At 38.5% G+C, this 20986-nt stretch overlaps 1 long non-coding RNA gene across 10 annotated transcripts in view; it reads left to right on the plus strand.

Annotated features, from left to right (window-relative positions):
• Positions 1–20986, plus strand: part of LOC124900169 (uncharacterized) — a 109752-nt gene that overhangs the window by 47841 nt on the left and 40925 nt on the right. For 3 of the 10 annotated variants that reach the window (XR_007058346.1, XR_007058339.1, XR_007058345.1), the window contains 3 exons: positions 9872–9960; positions 12441–12539; positions 18496–18677. The exons of 2 other annotated variants lie outside the window; for them this stretch is intronic. This is a non-coding gene — a long non-coding RNA (uncharacterized LOC124900169). The remainder of the gene's footprint in view (positions 1–9871; positions 9961–12440; positions 12540–18495; positions 18678–20986) is intronic. 5 more of the 10 variants (XR_007058338.1, XR_007058344.1, XR_007058340.1 and 2 more) reach the window with 2 other exon arrangements.

Genomic DNA, 20986 nt, shown 5'->3' on the forward strand with positions numbered 1-20986 from the left:
CTGCACCCCATTTCCAGGGACTAAATTCTATATAAGTCAAAGTTCTTGGTCTCAAACAGCATTCTAACTAATTTAACCCGAAAGGGGTTTATTGGAAGTTATTAGGTGGCTTACAGAATTTTGGGAGCACCGTATCAACCATTTTGGATACTAGTCAGTCAAAACAAAAACTGAAAATACCAAGGGTTCTAGGGAACTACTGCTGCCCTCGGCAGGTAGGACACAGCATGCCAGAGAGTCCACCTCAGTATTTTCAGAACCACGTGGCTCCACCTCCGTGCTCCCCAGAAGACACAAATTCCATCTTGATGCTTATTTCTCATCCGAGTCCTGGGCAGACACCTCTGTTTGTCAGAAGCTTAGGCCACATGCCTGCACTCTAGCTTCAGGAAGATGGGGAAATGTTTTCACTTCCCAGCCTCTATAGTACAGTAAGGCAGCAACAGAGGAGTTAGAATGAGTGCAGAGTGAGCCAGCCTACAGAATCCGCCACAGTGTCTTGCTTCCTTACATTTCACTGTGGGACTTGGGGCAAGATACTTAACCTCTCTAACTAATCCATGTTCTAATACGTAACATGAGGATTTGGACCCCATGAATTCCAAGAGTTCTTACCGTAATACAATTCTGGGTCTGTACTAGTTAGAATTCTGGCTTCTAGTGATGGAATCCTTACATGACCCTGTGAAATTAAGTAAGTAGAATTTATTGGCTCTCCTAACCTAACTGTGGAAGATCAGGGGTGAAGCTGGCTTTAGGGTTGTCTGGCCCATCTGGCCTGCCTCCCCTCTCTGCTTTCTCTGGGTGTGGACTATAGAAACCAGCTTGTCCTTCAAGCTGGAGAAGCAGCTGCTTATGGTACCAAGGCTCATATCCAAATAGCTCTGAGGTCAGAGAGGAAAAGAGCTCCTCTTTTTCTGAATCAGTTTCTAAGTTTCAGAAGGATGCTTAGCTAAGCTTGGTTTGTGTGCCCAGTCCTGTGGTCAGGGAGTGGAGTCTTTAACTAGAGAAAGGCAGGCTAACAGAGAAGTGTTTTGAGGCAGTCAGCCACCTCAATCAGTGACCAATGCAGATTCCAAAACGTAGTGTGCTACGATATGTAATGTGGGGTTTATTAATTTGTTTTCAGGCCCTTATTATGTGTGATAATGTTGTGTGGGGCTTAATGGGCAGTAAGACATCATTGCAACCTGCATTCAGGGAGCATAAATTGAATTCTATAGATAAAAGCAAACACAGTATGGAGCCTTATCTGCAAATAAACTATATAATAGTGTTTTTAGGGAATGATCTGAATCCTAAAGCAGGTGAATATGGAACTTGAAGGAAGAGACTGGCTTTTTTTTTTGCCAAGGATTTTGCTCCAAGTCATATTCCTAAGCCAACTCATATTTGACTTAAAAGATCACAGGTAAAATCTAAAATTGATTTTTTTTCCTTGAACTTTTTGCTTTTTTATCTATTTTTTTTTTTTTTGGATGTTGACTGTGTTGGTATTTAGAGAGCCTCTTCCTTTGGGAAGTTACATTACTGTACTGGAATATGTTTTGCTTCAGCAATAAATATGACAATATAGCCTTTTGGTCTTATGCTTTATCAACATAGCTTATATAACAGGAAAAAAATATATTTCCTCCTTGAAATAAAAAAAATTGGTAGTGCACCCTAAAATATATCTGTACTTTAGTAGCATTTTGCACACTAAGTTATACTTTGTTGGCAATTAGATTGTTGAAAATGTGTGAAAAGTTTCAGCTGATCAAAGTTTCAGCCTTTGGTTCATCATACAAATGTGCTTCTTAGTTTAATAATCTGAAGCACATGCATATTAAGTAGAGAAAACTAATTGCAGTAAATCCTGGAAACAATCTGGATGTTTCAATAATGTCACATTGTTTTTTCTGAATTTACTTGTAACACTGTTACATAAGGGTTTTGTTTTTACATTGTTTTAAGTCTTGTTGGCCTCTGTTTCTCTGATGATTATTAATAACTATATGATTTAATTAGATTTTATATTTATATGTCATGTCAAGGCTCTTGAGTGCATTTTATACATTTTTCTACTTGAACAATGTCTATAGATATAATGAAATATACATATGCTGTATAGTTATTCTTTCTAGAAATTTGTATTGTGATAGGAAATAACTAATTTATATACTTCAGCGATAATGGAGGATCACTCTTTGCTTTTAAACATTGGATATATCCATTCCAGTAAGTGGAATATAACTATTTTTAATGTGACCAAAGTCATTTTAATGTGTATGTGTTCCAGCATTTTTGTTTCTTTTTCATTTTACAGTAAGTGGTTCTTAAACATAAATGGAAATCTTTCATATTCCATGAAGTTGATCCACAACCTTTGATGAGTGCCAATCGTATATAGATAGTTGTTGGTTTGGTGCAAATAAAATTAAAAGCCTAGCATTATAATCGAATTGAAAAGTCTATTGGAAGAGACTGGTTACTAAAGATGAAAAGTATCCTTGTGGAACAAAACAGAAACATCGATAGTGGGAGTCTAATATGTTATAGCAATACACAGCAGAAGCATCCAGTGCAGCCTCGGGTACCAGGGAAGTAATGCTTAAACGGAGAATGGAAAGATTATTAGTAATGATGCTGAGCCTTGTGGAAAGAATCATAGTTAGAGGAAATAACATGTATGAAAGCCCAGAGGTGAAAGAGAGGTTGGCAGCTATGGAGAAACTAAAATAAGTTCCCTTCAGCTGCAGCAGAGAGATGGGGTCAAGCAAGAGAGAGGTGTTAGGGAACTGATAACAGAAAAAGCCTGACCTGGGATGAGATTAGTGGCACTAAGCGAAATAGGCAGATTCAAGAGGAGGACCTACTGATTAACAGGTTTCGAGAAACAAGGGAGAGGAGGGGAATCAAGGATTTTTCCAGACACCTTGGGCAACTGGGTGGATGTGGTGCTGTGCGTGGAGGAAGACAGCACAGGAGAAGAAGCAGATTTAGGGGGAGTCTTTGGGACATTTCAGGATGTCCAGTGGGGAGCTGCTTTGGTGATAAAGACTGAGGAGACATCAGCGTAAAAATAGTAATTTCATACCAATACCCAAAGGGTTTGCAAAAGAAGAGGAGGCTTAGAAGTATCTGCCAGAGAGGAGAAGAAAAGCAAAGACAGAATGCTTTTAAACATTGAAGGAAAGAAAGTCTTTCAAATGGGACTGAATGGTCATCATGCCAAATGTTACACAGAGGTCAAACAAGATAAGAACAAAACAGTTCCCATTGGATTTTGCACTGAGGATGTTGCTGTTGACCACTTGACAGTTTCAGTCAAGTGGTCAAGGGTGAATCCAGATGCAGCGGGTTGAGAAATGAATGGGAAATAAGGAATTGGAGATAGTGAATGTAGACAGCTCTTGTAAGAAGAATGTTAATGAAAGGGAGATAAAGATAAGGCTGTAGCTGGAGGAAGATGGGAGGCCAAGGGACAGTTTCATTTTTTATTTAATATGAGAGAGACCTGAGTGTGTTTAACCACTGGTGATGTGAAATAACCGGAGGAGAGGGGAAGGCCGAAGACACTGAGGGGCTTTGGGGAGGGTTGCAATCAATAGAAGGGGGCCTCTGAGAAGGTGGGAATGATGGGATCCATCGTCCCAGATAAGGGGGCTGTCTTCAATTGTAAAGGGAGGAAAGAGTGGGATCAGTAGCAGTTAGGAGTGCTTTCACTTGCAAATAACAGAAAACCCAGCTACCAATAGTGCCTCACTCAAGCAGATATTCATTTTTCTTGTATGACAAGCAATTTAGAGTAAGCAATTGCTGACATTGCTTCTGCAAGTTGATATCAGCACTAAGGGGTTGACATCACTGCATTTCCCTTCATCTTTTCCTTTCAAACTGTGCTCAAGGCAGGAAAAGGGGGGAAGGGATGGTATTAGCTGCACTTGGTCATTTAAACAGGAAAGTGTCTCCAGAGGCCTCCGGGAGACTTCTGCTTGCATCTCATTGGCCAGTACGGTGTCCCATGGCCACTCATAACGACAAGGGAGACTGGGAAAGATTTTTTTTACCCTCATAGTGGGAGAAGTCAAGAGAGATAAGATTTGGGAATGACAGATTAGTTAAATAGCAGCATCTACCACAGAGCAAATGCAGATAATTTGTAAATTTGGTAGCACGCAGGTGAAGGACTTGCCATCTGATAGTTCTGTTGTCTCTAAAATTGGAAATAAGATAATCTGTGAAGTCAGGAATATAACTTTTGAGAGTGGTGAAAAATAGGAAATGTCCTCTTTGGAGAACTTGAAACGCGGGACTGATGAAACAGTGATCTCTGAACTACACTGAGATTTAATTAGCGATTAGAGATTGATAGGGCACATGCCTAGAGAATTATGTGACTTATCAAAGAGTGATGACCAGACAATGAGAATATTATTCTTCATTTGTATTATACTTCTTGTGAATATAAAACATCCTACTGAATGCTTTTGATTTTGAATTCTGTTTGTATAAAATTCATATTTTAATTTTTTTAAAATGTGTTTATGCTGTATAAATCATTACCTACTTGTTTTGTTATAGGTATGTCTCATAAATTTACATATATATTTATGTGGATTTTTTCCCCACAGCTTTTTATTTTAAAAACTTTCAAATATATAGAAAACTTGAAAAAGTAGTACAGTGAACACCCCCCATGCCATTCACTGACTTCCACTAATTAACACTTCCCCACATTTTCCTTTTTCCTTCCCCTCTTCTTTCTTTCTTTCACACACATCACACACCTTTTTTTTTGGAACCATCTAAAACTTTAAGTTGTAGACAATAAGACACCTCAGCCCTACATACTTCTGCATTCATCCGGCACGAATGAGAACATTCTCCTATGTAACCACAATGCAAGAATTGCACCTAATCAGAATGAACGCTAATATCATCCCTAAACTTCAGTGTGTTTAAGTTTTCCACTTGTCCTCAAATTGTCTTTTGACTCAAAGAGTCTGAAGCAGAATATTTCTCGCTCTGTCACCCAAGCTGGAGTGCAGTGGCGCGATCTTGGCTCACTGAAACCTCCGCCTCCTGGATTCAAGCGATTCTCTTGCTTCAGCCTCCCCAGGAGCTGGGACTACAGGTGCACGCCGCCACACCTGGTTAATTTTTGTATTTTTAGTAGAGACGGGGTTTCACTACATTGGGCAGGCTGGTCTTGTACCCCTAAACTCAAGTGATTCACCCGCCTCAGCCTCCCACGGTGCTGGGATTACAAGCATGAGCCACCGCGCTCAGCTAAAGAAGAATATTTGAAAACTACATTTCTTTTTTTATAAATTAATCTAACAGGTTTGGAAGTGCCCTTTAGCAGTAGGCTTAATGTTGAAATTTTGTTTCCATTTGTCAAGGCTTTTCCGGTCTTTCTAGATTTTCATTTTGGATGCACACTCTAGACAGTATCTGCCTGTGTGTATATAACTGAAACTTATATTGGCTTTTCTCTTCAGCAGTATCCTCTTACTTCCCAATTTGATGACCAACCTTTCCATCCTCCACTTTGACTGTGGCTGAGTACTGTGTGATAGATAAAAGATATCTATATTATCTCTTACACAAACCAATTAAAGCCTCTATTTGAGTAAATATTATAAACTGTTGCTTTCATATTTAAACGGTAAATTTAACATACTTTTTATCCAAGTGGATAAAGTAGCTGTTTTATGGCCATATTAGAACTATTAATTAATAAAATAGAACCCAGTGACTGAGATGGAGGTATTTCATATGAAAATTAAATTTACTTTGTATAAAATTGAAAATGCTGGTGATTAATGTTCCCTGGATGCAGGATACAGTAGGAAACACTGGGTTTTTCTAAATACAGACATGACTCCTTATCAAGGAACTGGAATTCTAAAACAACATTGAAACGAACATGTAAATAAAAGACTTGATAAAGAAATAGAGCATGTACACGGAAATTATTTGCCAAATGCAGGAATAAGATTGAAGATATTTAAACAGGCACAAATTTCTTGATGATTTATTTGTCTCTTTTAAATTTTCATACAGATTTAATCTGTAAATAAAAATAGGGTGACTGTGATTTGAGTAACTTTACAAGCACTTTCAAAACTGTGCAAAAGTATACAAAGTTGTCAGTTGGGTGGTGTTTGTTCCTGCTGGACTGCTTTGATGTATGCTGTGTTATATGGGACTGGCCACAAGTTTTTGGCCTCTTCAGGTCCCATAAATCTTGAAACTTTTGTGTTCACACTCAGCTCCTGGCATCATCAGCCACAGGAGCCCAAGATGCACAGACTCACCTAATATGCACCCCAGTTATTAGCAATGAACTTCTCTGCTCCCAGTGGACTAGTCAGTTTCCAGTGTTTGAATTATTTATAATTTAAAAACTAGAGACATAAAACTACACTGAAACAGACATGTCTCATCATCTTTTGCTCAGGGCCTTTTGGTGATAAATGCGCGCATATGAACTCGGGTTGAAAGATAATTTCGATTGCCTGCCAACTGTGGCCACCACCTGAGCAGCCAAATCTGGCTGAATAAAAACATGACTGCACTGATGGGGCCTTATTTTAATTTATGACCACGAATCTATGGCCTTTATGGGTCTGACTCTGTAGCTCAAATCCATTCACTCACCTGCAGAACTAGATCACTGTTTCTTACCTCCTCTCTGTCCCCCTTCACGCACTCTGAACTGGTGGTTTTGCATCATATTTCACTAAGAAAATGAAAACAACAGAAGAGAATTTCTTCCTTCTCCCATCATCATCATATCTACAAACTTACCTGGATCTATGTCCGTGTAACTGCCTTCCTCTTTAAGCCCACATTTCTCCATTTTCTTTATCTTCACTGACCCGGAGATGAAATTTAGTATTTCTTGCAATTGTGAACCTAGATAGTCAAACCATAGGAATATTAGCTGTAGCTGTCCAATAAAAAAATCTACAGATATTTTCATCTCATTTCACTTCTTACAGATATCTTGAAATAAGTACGTGCATGACTTCTTTGAAGTAACTGTGGTTACTATGTTCACTGATTGATATCATTATTTAATGTGTTAATTAAAAGTATGTATTTTACTATAGAATAACTTTTAAAATATTTTGATGACATATTTTCTTATAATTTGTTTTCTTTTATACCAATTCTAGATACACCAAAAATATAAAAATGTTTTATTTTATGCATTTAAAATATTATTCAGGCGGGGCGCAGTGGCTCATGCCTATAATCCCAGCACTTTGGGAGGCCGAGGTGGGCGGATCATTAGGTCAGGAGATTGAGACCATCGTGGCTAACACGGTGAAACCCTGTCTCTACTAAAAAAAAAAAAAACTACAAAAAATTAGTCAGGTGTGGTGGTGGGCACCTGTAGTCCCAGCTACTTGGGAGGCTGAGGCAGGAGAATGGCATGAACAAGGGAGGTGGAGCTTGCAGTGAGCCAAGATTGCGCCACTGTACTACAGCCTGGGTGACACAGTAAGACTCCATCTCAAAAAAAAAAAAAAATTATTCAGAGAAGGAATCTGAGGGTTTTAACAGACTTTCAAAGGGATTCATGAAAGTCCATGCCTCCTTGAAGTATATTTTCTGCCACAACCTCCCTTTTCAGCTTCTAAATTGATGTATGCAACTGCCTACTCAACATTTCCTCTTGGATATCTAATTAGAACCTCAGATCTACCATGTCCAAAATCAAGCTCCCTATTCTTACCTACTCCCAAAACTTGTGCCTCTTACAGTCTTCCCCCCACCTCAGTAACAGGTGATTCCATTCTTCTAGTTGCTCAGACCAAAACCCATGGAATCACCCCTGACTCTTCTCTTTCACAAGCCACATCTGATCTAGTGGCAATTTTGTTGACTTTATCTTCAAAGTCAGTTCCACGCTATCCATACTGGTTCATTTGTTCAGTAGTCTCCTGATAGCACCCATTGCTTCCACTACTGCCTACCCTGCCCCCCAACACACGTATACACACCACACACAAACCTTGTGCTAAACCTCAGTCTAAATCCGTCTCCTCTCTTGCCTGGATTGCTGTAAAGGCTTTTTATTTTCCTACAGTCACTACCTTTGCGACATCCTGCAGCCTGTCTCCACACAGTGTCCAGAGTGACCTTGTGGCGGTGTCCCACTGCCAGTAGAGCAGAAAACAAACTCCTTCCATGGCCACAGAGCCCCCCTCAGAGGGACCATGCCCATCTCACTGAGTTCACCTCCCACCTCTCACCCCTAATTAGCTGCCTTCTTCCTCTTTGAACATGCCAAGCCCAGGTTTCTTGTTCTTGCTGCTGCCTCTTCTCCCTGGAAAGTGATGTTCTGACATCTCATGATTGGGCATCAGCTCAGATGCAACCTCCCCAGAGAGGCCAGCCTCCATCACCACAACTACAATAGTGCCTCCCCTAGTCACCCTCTGTCCTATTACCCTTCTTATTTTAGTCTGTAATTTATGACTTACTTGTTCATGTGTTTATTTCTTTCATCTAAAGTGTAAGTTCTCAGAGGGTAAGTTATTGTTGTAATCGCTACTGGCTTTCCAGCACTAAGAATCATCCTGGCTCATAGTAGGTGCTCAATACATTTGTGGTCAATGGATGGATGAACTAGGTGCCAACGATAGCAAAATACTATACAGAAGAATGTATCACTTAGACAGGCTAAAGCTCATTTAAAGGGAACTACATGGGTATATTCAAATACTGTTCCTCATTTGTCATGATTTGAATGCATAATTCTAAGCCCTTACTTTTTATATGATGGCTAACTCTTATAATAAAATACTTATGTTCAATTTACTATCCTGATGAATATTAGCTAATTTTCTTTATGGTCAGAGTTAAAAATTTAGAAAAAATCTCCAGGTAAACCAGGGATACATATTGGAAGACAAAAGATACTATTTTGTAATTAAACAATAAACTGAGTGAATGAGCTTTAAAAATAAATAATGTATCTTTATTTTAAAGGCCAACAATTTAACAAAAATTGAAATAATCTTTACAGTATAGGTTCTAGAATGAACAATGAAAACGTATCCATGCCGTCTTATTTTAGATACATAGACAATTGAATTGGTGCTGTGTACATACAAGAGGTTACTCTTAGATGTACATGTGTCATTATAATCAATGCCAAATATATAAAGACCATACCGGCTTGTATGTTTGGCTGTTTATAATGCTTTAAATACTAATTCATCTTTTTAATTTTCTTCTATGTATTTTGTTTGTGAACAATCATAATATTCCATGCGACCTAGATAACAGGAGTATGCAATGGTGACTTTGTTGGGAGTTTAAGCAGAGTTCAGTAGCTATAAAGGATTTCACTAATAGGAAAAGAATAAGACAAACTCTCTGTTGACCTTTGTTTCACATTAAAATGACCGAAGTTTAACACCAAAATGACAGCTGGTTAAAACAGCTTGAGATTTCAAAGTGCTTCAGTATATATAAATATTATGACTGATCCCATAAGTGTGTTGGAAGACACTTTAAGAAAGGTCCTTGGTTTAACAGTTTTCTACCTTCTCCCATTTTGGTTGAAGGGAAGTATCACTCAAAAAAAGTTTTTTGTCTTCTGAATTTAGAGAAATAGAATAATTTAAAACATGTAGCTGAACTCAACAGAACCAAGATTAGAAGGTTAATACTGTGGATGGAAATTACTACTTTGTGGAGAACCCTAAGCTTCAGATTCCTGTAGTTTGATAATACGATAGATACTTCTCTATATTAACTTTAGGTAATGAGTTGCCAATAGTATATATATTCTCTGTCTCTCTCTATATATATGTATAGAATACATTATTAAAATGTGTTTTTACCACTTCTTTTTCTGCAACAGAACATGTTAGGACAAGGCAATTTCTCAGGGATCAAAGGTACATCATGGCAAACTCATTCCTGCACTTTGGTCTCACGGTCTTTCAAAAGGTGTGTTCCTATCAAGCCTCAACTCTTTAAAATTATCTTGGCTTTACTACTGAAATTTAAATCAAGTTACTTTTTATCATAAACATTTTATAATAGTTACTTACAGTTTTCTGTTCAGTTTTCCATGGGCAAGGAAAACTTGGGATGACAGAGTAGAAAGAATAGGAAGCAAGAGTGATAAACAGAAGTCTGAATGATGTAATTTGTTATTAGAATAAATTATCAGCAGGACAGAGTTCAAGCAGAAGCTTTCCCATGAGGCATGTAACATTTCTAAAAGGCATCAACATCAATTGGTGAAGAATTAATTCAGAAAGTGGAGGTTGGCTAGGGTCATGTAATCAGAGAGTGAGTGCAGATTTGAGGGTGGAGGCTGCGCAGCTGGCAAAAGGCTGGGCCAGCTTCCCGCAGGCAGGTGAAGGGAACAAGAGGGAGATAGCATGTGTGGAAGAAGCTGGGAGGAATGATTTTCTTTACATGTTTACTTTCTAAGCTTTTAAAAGGCATGCACATAGTACAGATTCAAACAGACAACAGAAAATCGAATGAGAATTAAGTCAGCTTTTCACTCCAACTCCCAGTCGCTGATTCCCCTCCCAAGGGCCAACACTGTCTTGCAAATCCTTCCAGAGGTACTCTACGCATGGACAAGCATTTATGTGCAGTTCTTCCTTTTTTTTTTTTTTTTTTACCCAAAAAGTAGCATTCTATACAATGCTTCCACTTTTTACATAGGTGGCATGCAAGGCATACCATTCTACACTGTGCATTCCTAACCAAATAGAGTATAGACTTCATTCCTCTTAATTCCCTTTTAAGAGCCACATTATATGCAGATGTGCCTGTCTCCAGCTGATGGACATTTAAGGTATTTGGTCCTGGACAGAGAACTTGGAGGTTGTAGGACAGGAATAAGAGGGAGATAATTTTTAATGTATACTACTTTCTTGACTTTGATAATGTGTATGTAGTTTGCATATTCAAGGGGAAAAACATTCGAAGAGTCAAAATATAGTCACATGCCCCCTTTGCTTAACTACCTTCTGTAAATTTTTTTACTGTGAGGATAAACCCAGTCCAGACCTACATGGCCTGCTTGGGCGGGCCTGTCTGTCTCCCCAGAGCCTTTTGGGGACTTTGCCCTGGTCCCCACACTCCAGCCCATCTTTCAGTTCTTCTAACATGGACTCTTTTTCACCTCAGCAGTGAGAAAGCTCATGCACTTTTGTATTCTCCCTGCTCCCTGAACCGCTTATTTCCTTTACTTACTCTCTTTTTGGCCTGCAGGGAAAAGTTCTCCAATCTAAATTGGGTCCCCTTATTAGTTTCTGTCATAGAACGATGAAATTATTTATTGATATGTCTGGATTTTAGTCTTTGCTGTGGGTACCACTTTTTACTTCATTGGTCTGGGGTAGTGGGAGAAACATTTTGTTGAGATTCAAGAAATCTGAATTCTGATCCTACCACTGCATGGCATGACTGCGGCCTTCAGCAAATCACTTACCTTCCCTGGCTTCAATTTTCTTACCTGTAAAATGAGAAAAACAGACTGGTTGATTTCTAAGGCCCTATAATTTGTGGTATTAGAACACTGTGAATACATAGGATAAAGTGAAATACATATAAATGTTGAATGCTAGTATACTCTTTATATAACATGGAATGCATTTAAATATTGAATGCTTGTATAAAAGTATTTTATGTTACAAATGGATGTTTAATTTCTTTCTTCAGAGTTACATAACTTTATGATTATTCCTTACAGAATAGTTTCCTAATTTCTCCCCTAACTTTTACAAATGTGTCAAATCCACAGATACCCAGACAATATTCAAAGATAAACTTAATATACAGACTAGTATATTCTAATATGCCAATACCCAGACAACATTCAAAGATAAACTTAATATACAGACTAGTATATTCTAATATGCCAAACCCTAATTTTCTTATAATGCCCTCCTTGCAATATTTTTATAAGGCATTTATAATTTTTTATTATTGTGGATCCATATTAGTTGTACATATTGATGGGGTACGTGTGATATTTTGATACAAGCATGTAACATGTAATAATAAAATCAGGGTAGTTAGGATATTCATCACCACAAGCATTTATTATTTGTGTTAGGAACTTTCAATTCCATTCTTTTAGTTATTTTTAAATATACATTAAATTATTATTAACTATAGTTGCAGTATTGTGCTACTGAACACTAGATCTTATTTATTCTATCTAACTGTATTTTTGAACCCCCTAACCAACCACTCTTTATCTCCTGCCTCCCAACTACCCTTCCCAGGCTCTGGTAACTATCATTCTATTCTCTATCTCCATGAGTTCAATTTTTTTAACTCCCACATGAGTGAGAACATGCGATGTTTGTCTTTCAATGCCTGGCTTATTTTGCTTAACATAATGTCATCCAGTTTCATCCATGTTGCTACAAATGACAGGATTTTATTCTTTTTTACAGCTGAATAGTATTCCATTGCCTTCTTCCATTCATCTGCTTATGGACACCTAGGTTGATTCCATATCTTGGCTATTGTGAATAGTGCTGCAGTAAACATGGGTATGTAGATATAGCTTTGATATTCTGATTTCCTATTTTTGGATATGTACTTAGCAGTGGGATTGCAGGATCATAGGTAATTCTATTTTTAGATTTTTGAGGAACCTCTAAGCTATTCTCCTTAGTGGCTCTACTAATTTACCTTCCTACCAGCACTGCATGAGGGTTAAGGCATTCTTTCTATCTAGAGTCTATAATTTGAGTTATTAGCTCATACAGTTATTTCTCATTCTTGTTTTTTATTAAATTCTAGAACCACTAGAGGGTGTATATGTTCAGAGAGAACAAAAAGTTCATTTTTTTTCTACTCTCGACATAAAGAGCTCATGTGAAAAGTTTCTGTTTGAGGAAAAGACTAAAAATATCTGATTGCATTTTGGTTTTTGGAGCAATGGGAAATTCTCATCAAAAAAGCAACCAAAAAAAAAAAAAGACTTTTTGCAACACATTTTAAGATTTTTGTTTTCTGTTAAAATAGGTAATTCTACAAAGTGAATACTTAAATTGAAAGAATGTATCCAATAAATACTATTCAATTCAGTAAATGTGATGAAAATTGTCTGCCTTCTTAGCTCTTTCAGCTTTCTCGGCTCTAAGAATAATTTGCTCCCATTCCATAAGAATTTTTAATTGTAAAAGTATTCCTTCCTTTACTGATTCCTACTTAAAAATTCTGGACACTGTTTTAACTTGTATTTTCTGAAGAGCTAATAGTGCCTTATATTAGAAAATTAACCCTCTGTTATAATGGACTGCACAGGGTTATATTATAATAACTTAGCAAACTACTATATTGTGAGAAGGAAATTGCTTTGTGTATTCTTTTTTCTTCAGCTCTTGGTCTGACAGCAGCTGTTGAAGGGTGTCCAAAAGTATTTCTGATGATAAGCTAAAGTCAGTCTTTCACATCTAAGTCTTTCCCCTTAGATAGTTGGCTGGATAAAGGTGAGAGCAGGCAGGTGTAGGGGTTGGAGGCCTGTGGTTCTGGCACATCTTGTTTATTAACTCTCCTGAGCTCACTGGGGGTTCTATTTTTTTTTTTTTTAAGAGACAGGGTCTTGTTGTGTTGCCCAGGCTGAAGTGCAGCGGCTGCTCACAGATGCAGTCATTGCACACTACAGCCTCGAACTCCTGGGCTCAAGAGATCCTCCCACCTCTGCTTCCTGAGTAGCTGGGACTACAGGCATGCATGAACACACCTGGTTTTCTGTCATGATTCTTGAACATTAAGCTTGACTTATCTGAGAATCACCTGTATTGATCCTGGATAAATCAACAGGTTAATTGGTCCCTGGGGTTAAAGTTCTCATGAGATAAGTGGCTTTTCTAGCAAATAACATAATCGGGCTGAGCTAATCTATTTTTCCAACCACTAATGTACAAGTGGGAAAATCTGATTCAATGACAACTAAAGGTGGCTTATTTAGCATCATATAAAATTAGAGAAAGTTGATCAACTCACTTAGGTGAGTATTTCTTCTACCAGGATCCCTAGTTCAGACAGTTTCTCTGGGTGGTTCTTTTTGTTTCTAGTAAGTGAAGCAAACTCTTATACTTAAGTGAACTTTTCTTGCTGCTTTGTGTTCTATCCTTTTGAGATAAGATATGATATGTTTAGATTTCTGGATTCCAGTATGTATTGGCATCTGTTTAGTCAGGAATACATGGATTCTCTTTCCGTCTAAAAGTCAGATTAGGCAGAAAATGGCCTCAAAAGAGTTGTCTATCTTGTTTATTCCTTTCCCTCCAGAGCCCTGTATGAGAAGGGTCTCACACCCCCCGCACCACTCCTCCAGAACTGCCCAGGCAAGGTCCTCCATAACCTTCATTTTGCTTAATACTATGGTCTATTATTGTCATCATCTTAAATCCTGAGCATAATTTGACACAGTTGGGCACTCCTCCCCTCCTTTACGTACTTTCTCAACTTGGTTTCCAAGGCACTGCCTTTGCGTGGATGTCTTCTACCTCATTATCTGATCCTCCACCCCCTCCTTTTCCTGACTTCTATACATTGCGATGCCTCAAGACATGGCCCTTTTTCCTCTCTTCTTTGCTAGCTGCTGTCACTCCCTGGATGATCTGATCTTATTTTTTGCCTTTAAATACCACCTATATGCCAATGGCTCTCCAATTTATTCTTCCAGCTTCTATGTGTCCCTTGAACCCCAAGCTCATATACCAGCTGTGTACTTAGCAACTCCATCTGGGTGCCTGGTCAACATTTCAAACTTAACACGTCCCAAACTAAACTGCAATTCCACCCCCATCCAACCAGCTCCCTGCCTTTTCTCAGCAAATGGCAGCTCCAAGCCAAAAATCTTCCTGTTATCCCTGACTGCTCTTTTTTTTTTTTTTTCTCATGCCCTGGATACATGATAGCTGTGCCCGTATCTTCAAAATAAGCCAAGCATCTGACTACTTCTTATCACCTCCTCTCTTGCTACTCTGGTTCTAGCTGCCATCATCTCTGGCTTGAATGACTGTGATAATCTCTTAACTGGTATCCCTGTTTCTACTTCCCTACCATCACTCATTCTCAAAAGAGTGATTCGTTAAACATGTAAGCCAGGTGATATCATTCCTTTGTTGCAAATCCTCAGTATTACCTAGAATAAAAGCCAAAGTCCTTACAGTGATTTAGAAAGCTCTGCCCAGTCTCTGACCCTCTCCCAGGCACTCAGGCTCCTTCTGCCCTGCTGGCCTCTTTTTCCCAGCACCCATTGCCTTGAGGTCTGTATGTGCTCTTCCCTCCCACTCACATGCTCATCACCCCCTCCCTCACTTCAAATCTTAGCTAAAAGATCACATGTTCAAAGAGAACAACATGACTACCCTATTTAATAGTGCCTAACATCTAATGTTTCCTCTTCCCCTTCCCTTTCCAGCTTTATTTTTCTTGAGGGCACTTATCTTCATGTGACTTACTATCTACCGTACTTATTTTTTCTTTATTATCTGTATTCCCTCCCTTGCCATATTTAGTTAGTTTATGTTCATTGTTGTAACCCTAACACTGGAGGAGCTCCTGCCCTATAGCTGGCCCTTAATAGATCTTTGTAACATTAATGTATGATTAAGAAAATGTTTGTGATCAGACATGGTGGCTCACACCTATTATCCTAGCACTTTGGGAAGCCAAGGCAGGAGGATTGCTTAAGGCCAGGAGTTTGAAACCAGCCAGGGCAACATAGTGAGACCCAGTCTCTACAAAAATAATAATAATAATAATACAAAAAAAATTTGCCAAGCATAGTGGCGTGTACCTGTAGTGCTAGCTACCTGGAAGTCTCAGGTGGGAGGGTCACCTGAGCCCAGGAGTTTGAGGCTGCAGTAAACTATGATTACACCACTGTACTCCAGCCTGGCAACTGAGTGAGACCCTGTCTCTTAAAAAAGAAAGAGTTTGTGTTACTGGATACCCTGATTGGGTGGGATGGAAGCACATTACATCTGTGTTAGAGTCCAAACTATAATATGTGAAGTTTTCCTTTATATGTTTGGCTGACTATTCAACAAATATTAATTGAGCATCTACTCTGTGCCAGGCACTTTGCTTGGCATTAAGGATAGAGCCGTGAGCAAAACAGGTCTCCATGCTTTTAGGAGCTCATGAATGTTCCTCCATTGAAAAATTTATTTTGCAATATTTAATATATAAAAATACATTAAAAACATATTCTTTATATCAAAAACATATAAAGAATAATGAATTCTTGTATGCCGTCCTTACCCATGAAGAAATGAAACATTACCATTGCAGGTAAGCCTCCATTTCCTCCCTTGCTGCCATAGGTAACTGCTAACCTGAATTTTTTATTTATCAATCTCATGCATTTTAAAAATGTGTTTGCTACATATGGATCCCTGAACCACATATAGTACTATTTTATGTTTAAATGCTGTAAAAGTGCAGGTCTGCTTTTTGCTTTGTTCACTCATTGTTATTTATGAGATTCATTTGTGTTGATACACATAAGCTTTCCTTTTCATTGCTGTGTAATATCTCACTTACTCATGCATTTCCCTGTACCCTGCCACCTTACTTATCCATTCCTCCATGTCCCCTGCTTCTTAAAAGGGGAATGGATAAGTGAGATATTTGTAGGTTGTTTCCAGTTTTTTGATACCATAAATATTGTTGCCAAAGATATCCAAAAGAACTTTCTGCAATGATGAAAACGTCCTATATCTGCACTCAACAAGACTGTTGCCACTCACCACATGTGGCTATGGAGCACTTGAAATGTAGCTAGTGTGACTGAAGAATCACATTCTTAGTCTGTTTAGTTTTAATTAGTGAGATTGATAACTATCGTATTGGAGAACACAATTCTACCTAGTGTTATCTTTGGGTACATATGTGAATTAATCTTGGGCTGTAGTTCTTACCACAATCAGACCTGATGTACTCTTTTATTAATAAATATTTTGTATCATCCCACTTACTATCTTGAAATGAAATTCATAACTTATCTGCACACATTTTAAAAAATCATTGCAATACACTTTCTATGATATAAACTAAAAATGTAAGAACAGTAATTTTAATAAAATAATATTTATTTCAATATGTCAGTAACCACAAATACACTCCACTACATTAGGAGACATGATGAAGCAGTTCACAGATGCAGAGTCATAGAAGATTGTGAGACTGGTAACTCAAGCACTGCAAGTGATGCAACTATTGGTAATGTGAAGAACTCTTGGTAACATTCTGAACAAAACACAATTCAGGCTGCCTTTATCTAGTAGTTGCATCTCTGAAAAATTTGGTATACAATAAGACCTTACAGAGTACTTATCATTTATATCTAAAACAGGGTTACGTTATACTCTTAGATAATTATAATCGGGTTTCCCACCTATATAAATGTTCTACTAGACCTTCTAAAGTCATGAAGGACCCAGCACAATTCTTTTTTGAATGAAACCATCCAAATTTCAGGACATACAAGATATCTGGCCCTTACCTACTAAATGGCAGTAACACATACACACACACACACACACACACACACACACACACACACCCTCCATCACTATTATAAGCAGACCTGCCTCCCAGGTGTGGCACTAGTTCTGTTGAGACCCATTGGTCTATGGTACATACCCAGCAGCAAAACCACTGTCTCTTAAGATATGATCTTCTTCAACTTTACCGAATATGAGTTTGTTCTCCCAGTTACTCCAAAGTTTTCCAAAGGGTTTAGACCAATTTACATTCCCACTGCAAGCATATACAATGTATCATTTCTCTAAATATATGCAGTTTTTACCTCGAAAGTGACACTTTTCCTAGGTTATAGTTTTGCTGATCTCAACAGTTGGCTGTTAAAAAACGTAACTTACCTATGTTCTATAATAACTCTTTGTACATCTCCCTCCAAAGTAGGACATCCCACTTTTTTAAGTAAACGCAGAATAGCATGCCTGCTAACCTGAATGTGGGTATAGTCTCTTCCACCATTTTTCCCATTGTTGCTATGGCCCTAGAAGACCTAAATTCTAGCTCCTCTTCACTAACCCCAGGGACACCTATCTCCATCTCCTTCCACCTCCCTTCAGATTTCACAGGGATCTGATGGAGGTCCGCTGGTCCTTCAAGGCACTAAAACACCTTGAAATCTGAATCCCTAGTTTCATAGAGCAGATGCAGAGTGAGGTAAATGGAGCCAAGTCCATTACTATTAGAGGAGTCATAACAACCTGACCTTTACACTTCTGATTATAGCTGTAAAGCAGTTATTGCCACCATAATGGCAAAATTCTCCACAGCTCAGTGGCTCACAATAGCAAGCACTTATTCTGACACTCACAGGCAACTTCAGCTGGGCTGATGGAGGTTCAGCCAGGCTGGGCAGCTCTGCTTCAAGTTGCACGTTGGCTGGTTTTGGTTCTAGGTTTTGGGTTGGGTTTGGGTCACCTCCTCATTTTTTATTCTGCAACTTAGGATGATGGGGCAGAGGCCAACCAGGCCTTGCTCTCCAGGCAGATCACTGGAGAACAAGACAATGTGTCCACCACTCAAGCATATTGAGAACTGCGCTTGCATCAAGCATATTGAGAACTGCTGCTTGCATCACACCTGCTAATTTCCAGTGGCCAAAGCATGTCACATAGCTAAGCCCAAAGGTAGGAAAATATATTCCACTCTGAGGAAAAGGTGGGAGGGAGTGTTTGCTGAACAATAACCCAGTCCAACTCAAAGCAGTAAACTTTTGTAATGGGATAGAGTTTGTGATTAATAGAACATTTTTTCTTTTATCACCAAAACATAGCAAATGTATCTTGATAATCCCTCTTAACTATGTTGTTTATTTGATATAAAAGAGGAAAAACTATTAGTGGACCTGGTTGGGGAATGGGTCACTCTAATTACCTGATCGTTCCTACTAAGTGGAGGTTAACCCTTCCTATGAATTGCATCTGCCTTGACTCTGGACCATGTACATGACTACTCAGATGAGGTGACCATATGTATCACATCTGGACTTTTTTCTAGGCTCATAAGGTTGTTTTGGATATTGTCTTCATTGTCCACTTTCTAAAAATTGCACTTTGCAAGTCATCTTTAGGTTAGGAATCAGGATGGTATTCATAGTGATAGTATACTCATAAAAATACAAATGTCTCTGATAATTGTGTTGGGTTTCAATAAACTTTATTCTTTAGAGCAGCTTTAGGTTCATGGTAAAATTGAGCAAAAGTTTTCAGAGAGTTCCCATATATCTTCTGTCCCTGGCACACTCACAGCCTCTCCCAATATCAGCATCTCCCACCAGAGTGGTACATTTATTATAATAGATGAATCTACATTGACAGATCATTATCACCCAGAGTCCATAATTTACATTAATGTTCACTCTTGACATTGTACACTCTATAGCTTTGGAAAAACGTATAATGACATGTCTCCACCATTAGAGTATCATACAGAATAGTTTCACTGCCCTAAAAACCCTCTGTGCTCTGCCTATTCATTTCCCCCTTTCCCCTAAACCCTGGCACCCCCTGATCTTTTACTGGCTCCATAGGTTAGCCCTTCCAGAATGTTGCATAGTTGGAATCATACATACACATGGAGACTTTCAGTTTGTCTTCTTTCACTTAGTAATATGCATTTAAGGTTTCTCCATGTCTTTTCATGGCTGAATTGCTCCTTTCCTTTTAGTGCTGAACATTATTTTACTGTCTGCAGGTACCACGGTTTATTTTTCCGTTCACCTACTGAAGGACATTTTAGTTGTTTCCCACTTTGGACACTTATGAATAAAGTTGCCATAAACATTCATGTGCAGGCTTTTGTGTAGACATGTGTTTTCAGTTCCTCTGGGTAAATACCAAGGAGCACGATTGCTGGATCATATGGTAAGAAAATATTTAGTTTTGTAAGAAACTGCCAAACTGTCTTCCAAAGTGGCTGTATCATTGGCATTCCCATCAGCAATGAATGAGAATTCCTGTTACTCCTCATCCTTAACCAGCATTGGGTGTTGTCAGGGTTCTGGATTTGGGGCATTCTAATAGGTGTATAGTAGTATCTTGATGCTGTTTTATTTTGCATTTCCCTGATGACAGGATGTGGAGCATCTTTTCAAATGTTTATTTGCCATCTATACCTTTGTTGGTGAGGTGTCTGTGTAGTTCTTTGGTCTATTTTAAAACTGGATTGTTTATGTACTTATTGCTGAATTTTAAGATTTATTTGTGTATTTTGAATAACAGCCCTTTATCTGATATATCTTTTGCAAACATTTTCTCCCAGTCTGTGGCTTGTCTTTTCATTTTCTTGATGGGAAACTTTTAATTAAACAGAATAAAGCAAAAAAAAAAAGTTTTGAATCAGACATTAAATATAAAATCTCAGAAACTGTAAGCACGTCTGAGACATTAGGTTTCTTTAAAAAGTGATCGTCAAGGTAATCAAAGTGCTTCTGAATTTCTTGACAAAATTAGAAAGCTTTAAAAACTAACATCAATTGTTAGTAAATTATATGAAGGGGGGATCATATCTGTCTCGTTCACCCCTATATCCCTGGCAGAGTGCCTGGCATACAGTAAGTGTTCAAAAAATATTTTTAAGTGAACGAATGTTCATTGTGGGTTAGCAACATTATAGATGTTATTTTATTTAATCTCCTTGGTAATCTTAAAAGTTAGATTTTGGCTGGGCACGGTGGCTCACGCCTGTAATCTCAGCACTTTGGGAGGCCGAGGTGAGCAGATCACAAGGTCAGGAGATAGAGACCATCCTGGCTAACACAGTGAAACCCCGTCTGTACTAAAAATACAAAAAAAAAAAGTAGCCGGGCGTGGTGGCGGGTGCCTGTAGTCCCAGCTACTCAGGAGGCTGAGGCAGGAGTATGGTGTGAACCCAGGAGGCGGAGCTTGCAGTGAGCCGAGATCATGCCACTGCACTCCAGACTGGGTGATAGAGTGAG

This window comes from Homo sapiens, chromosome 4 (assembly GCF_000001405.40).
Source record: "Homo sapiens chromosome 4, GRCh38.p14 Primary Assembly".
Taxonomy (NCBI): Eukaryota; Metazoa; Chordata; class Mammalia; order Primates; family Hominidae; genus Homo; species Homo sapiens.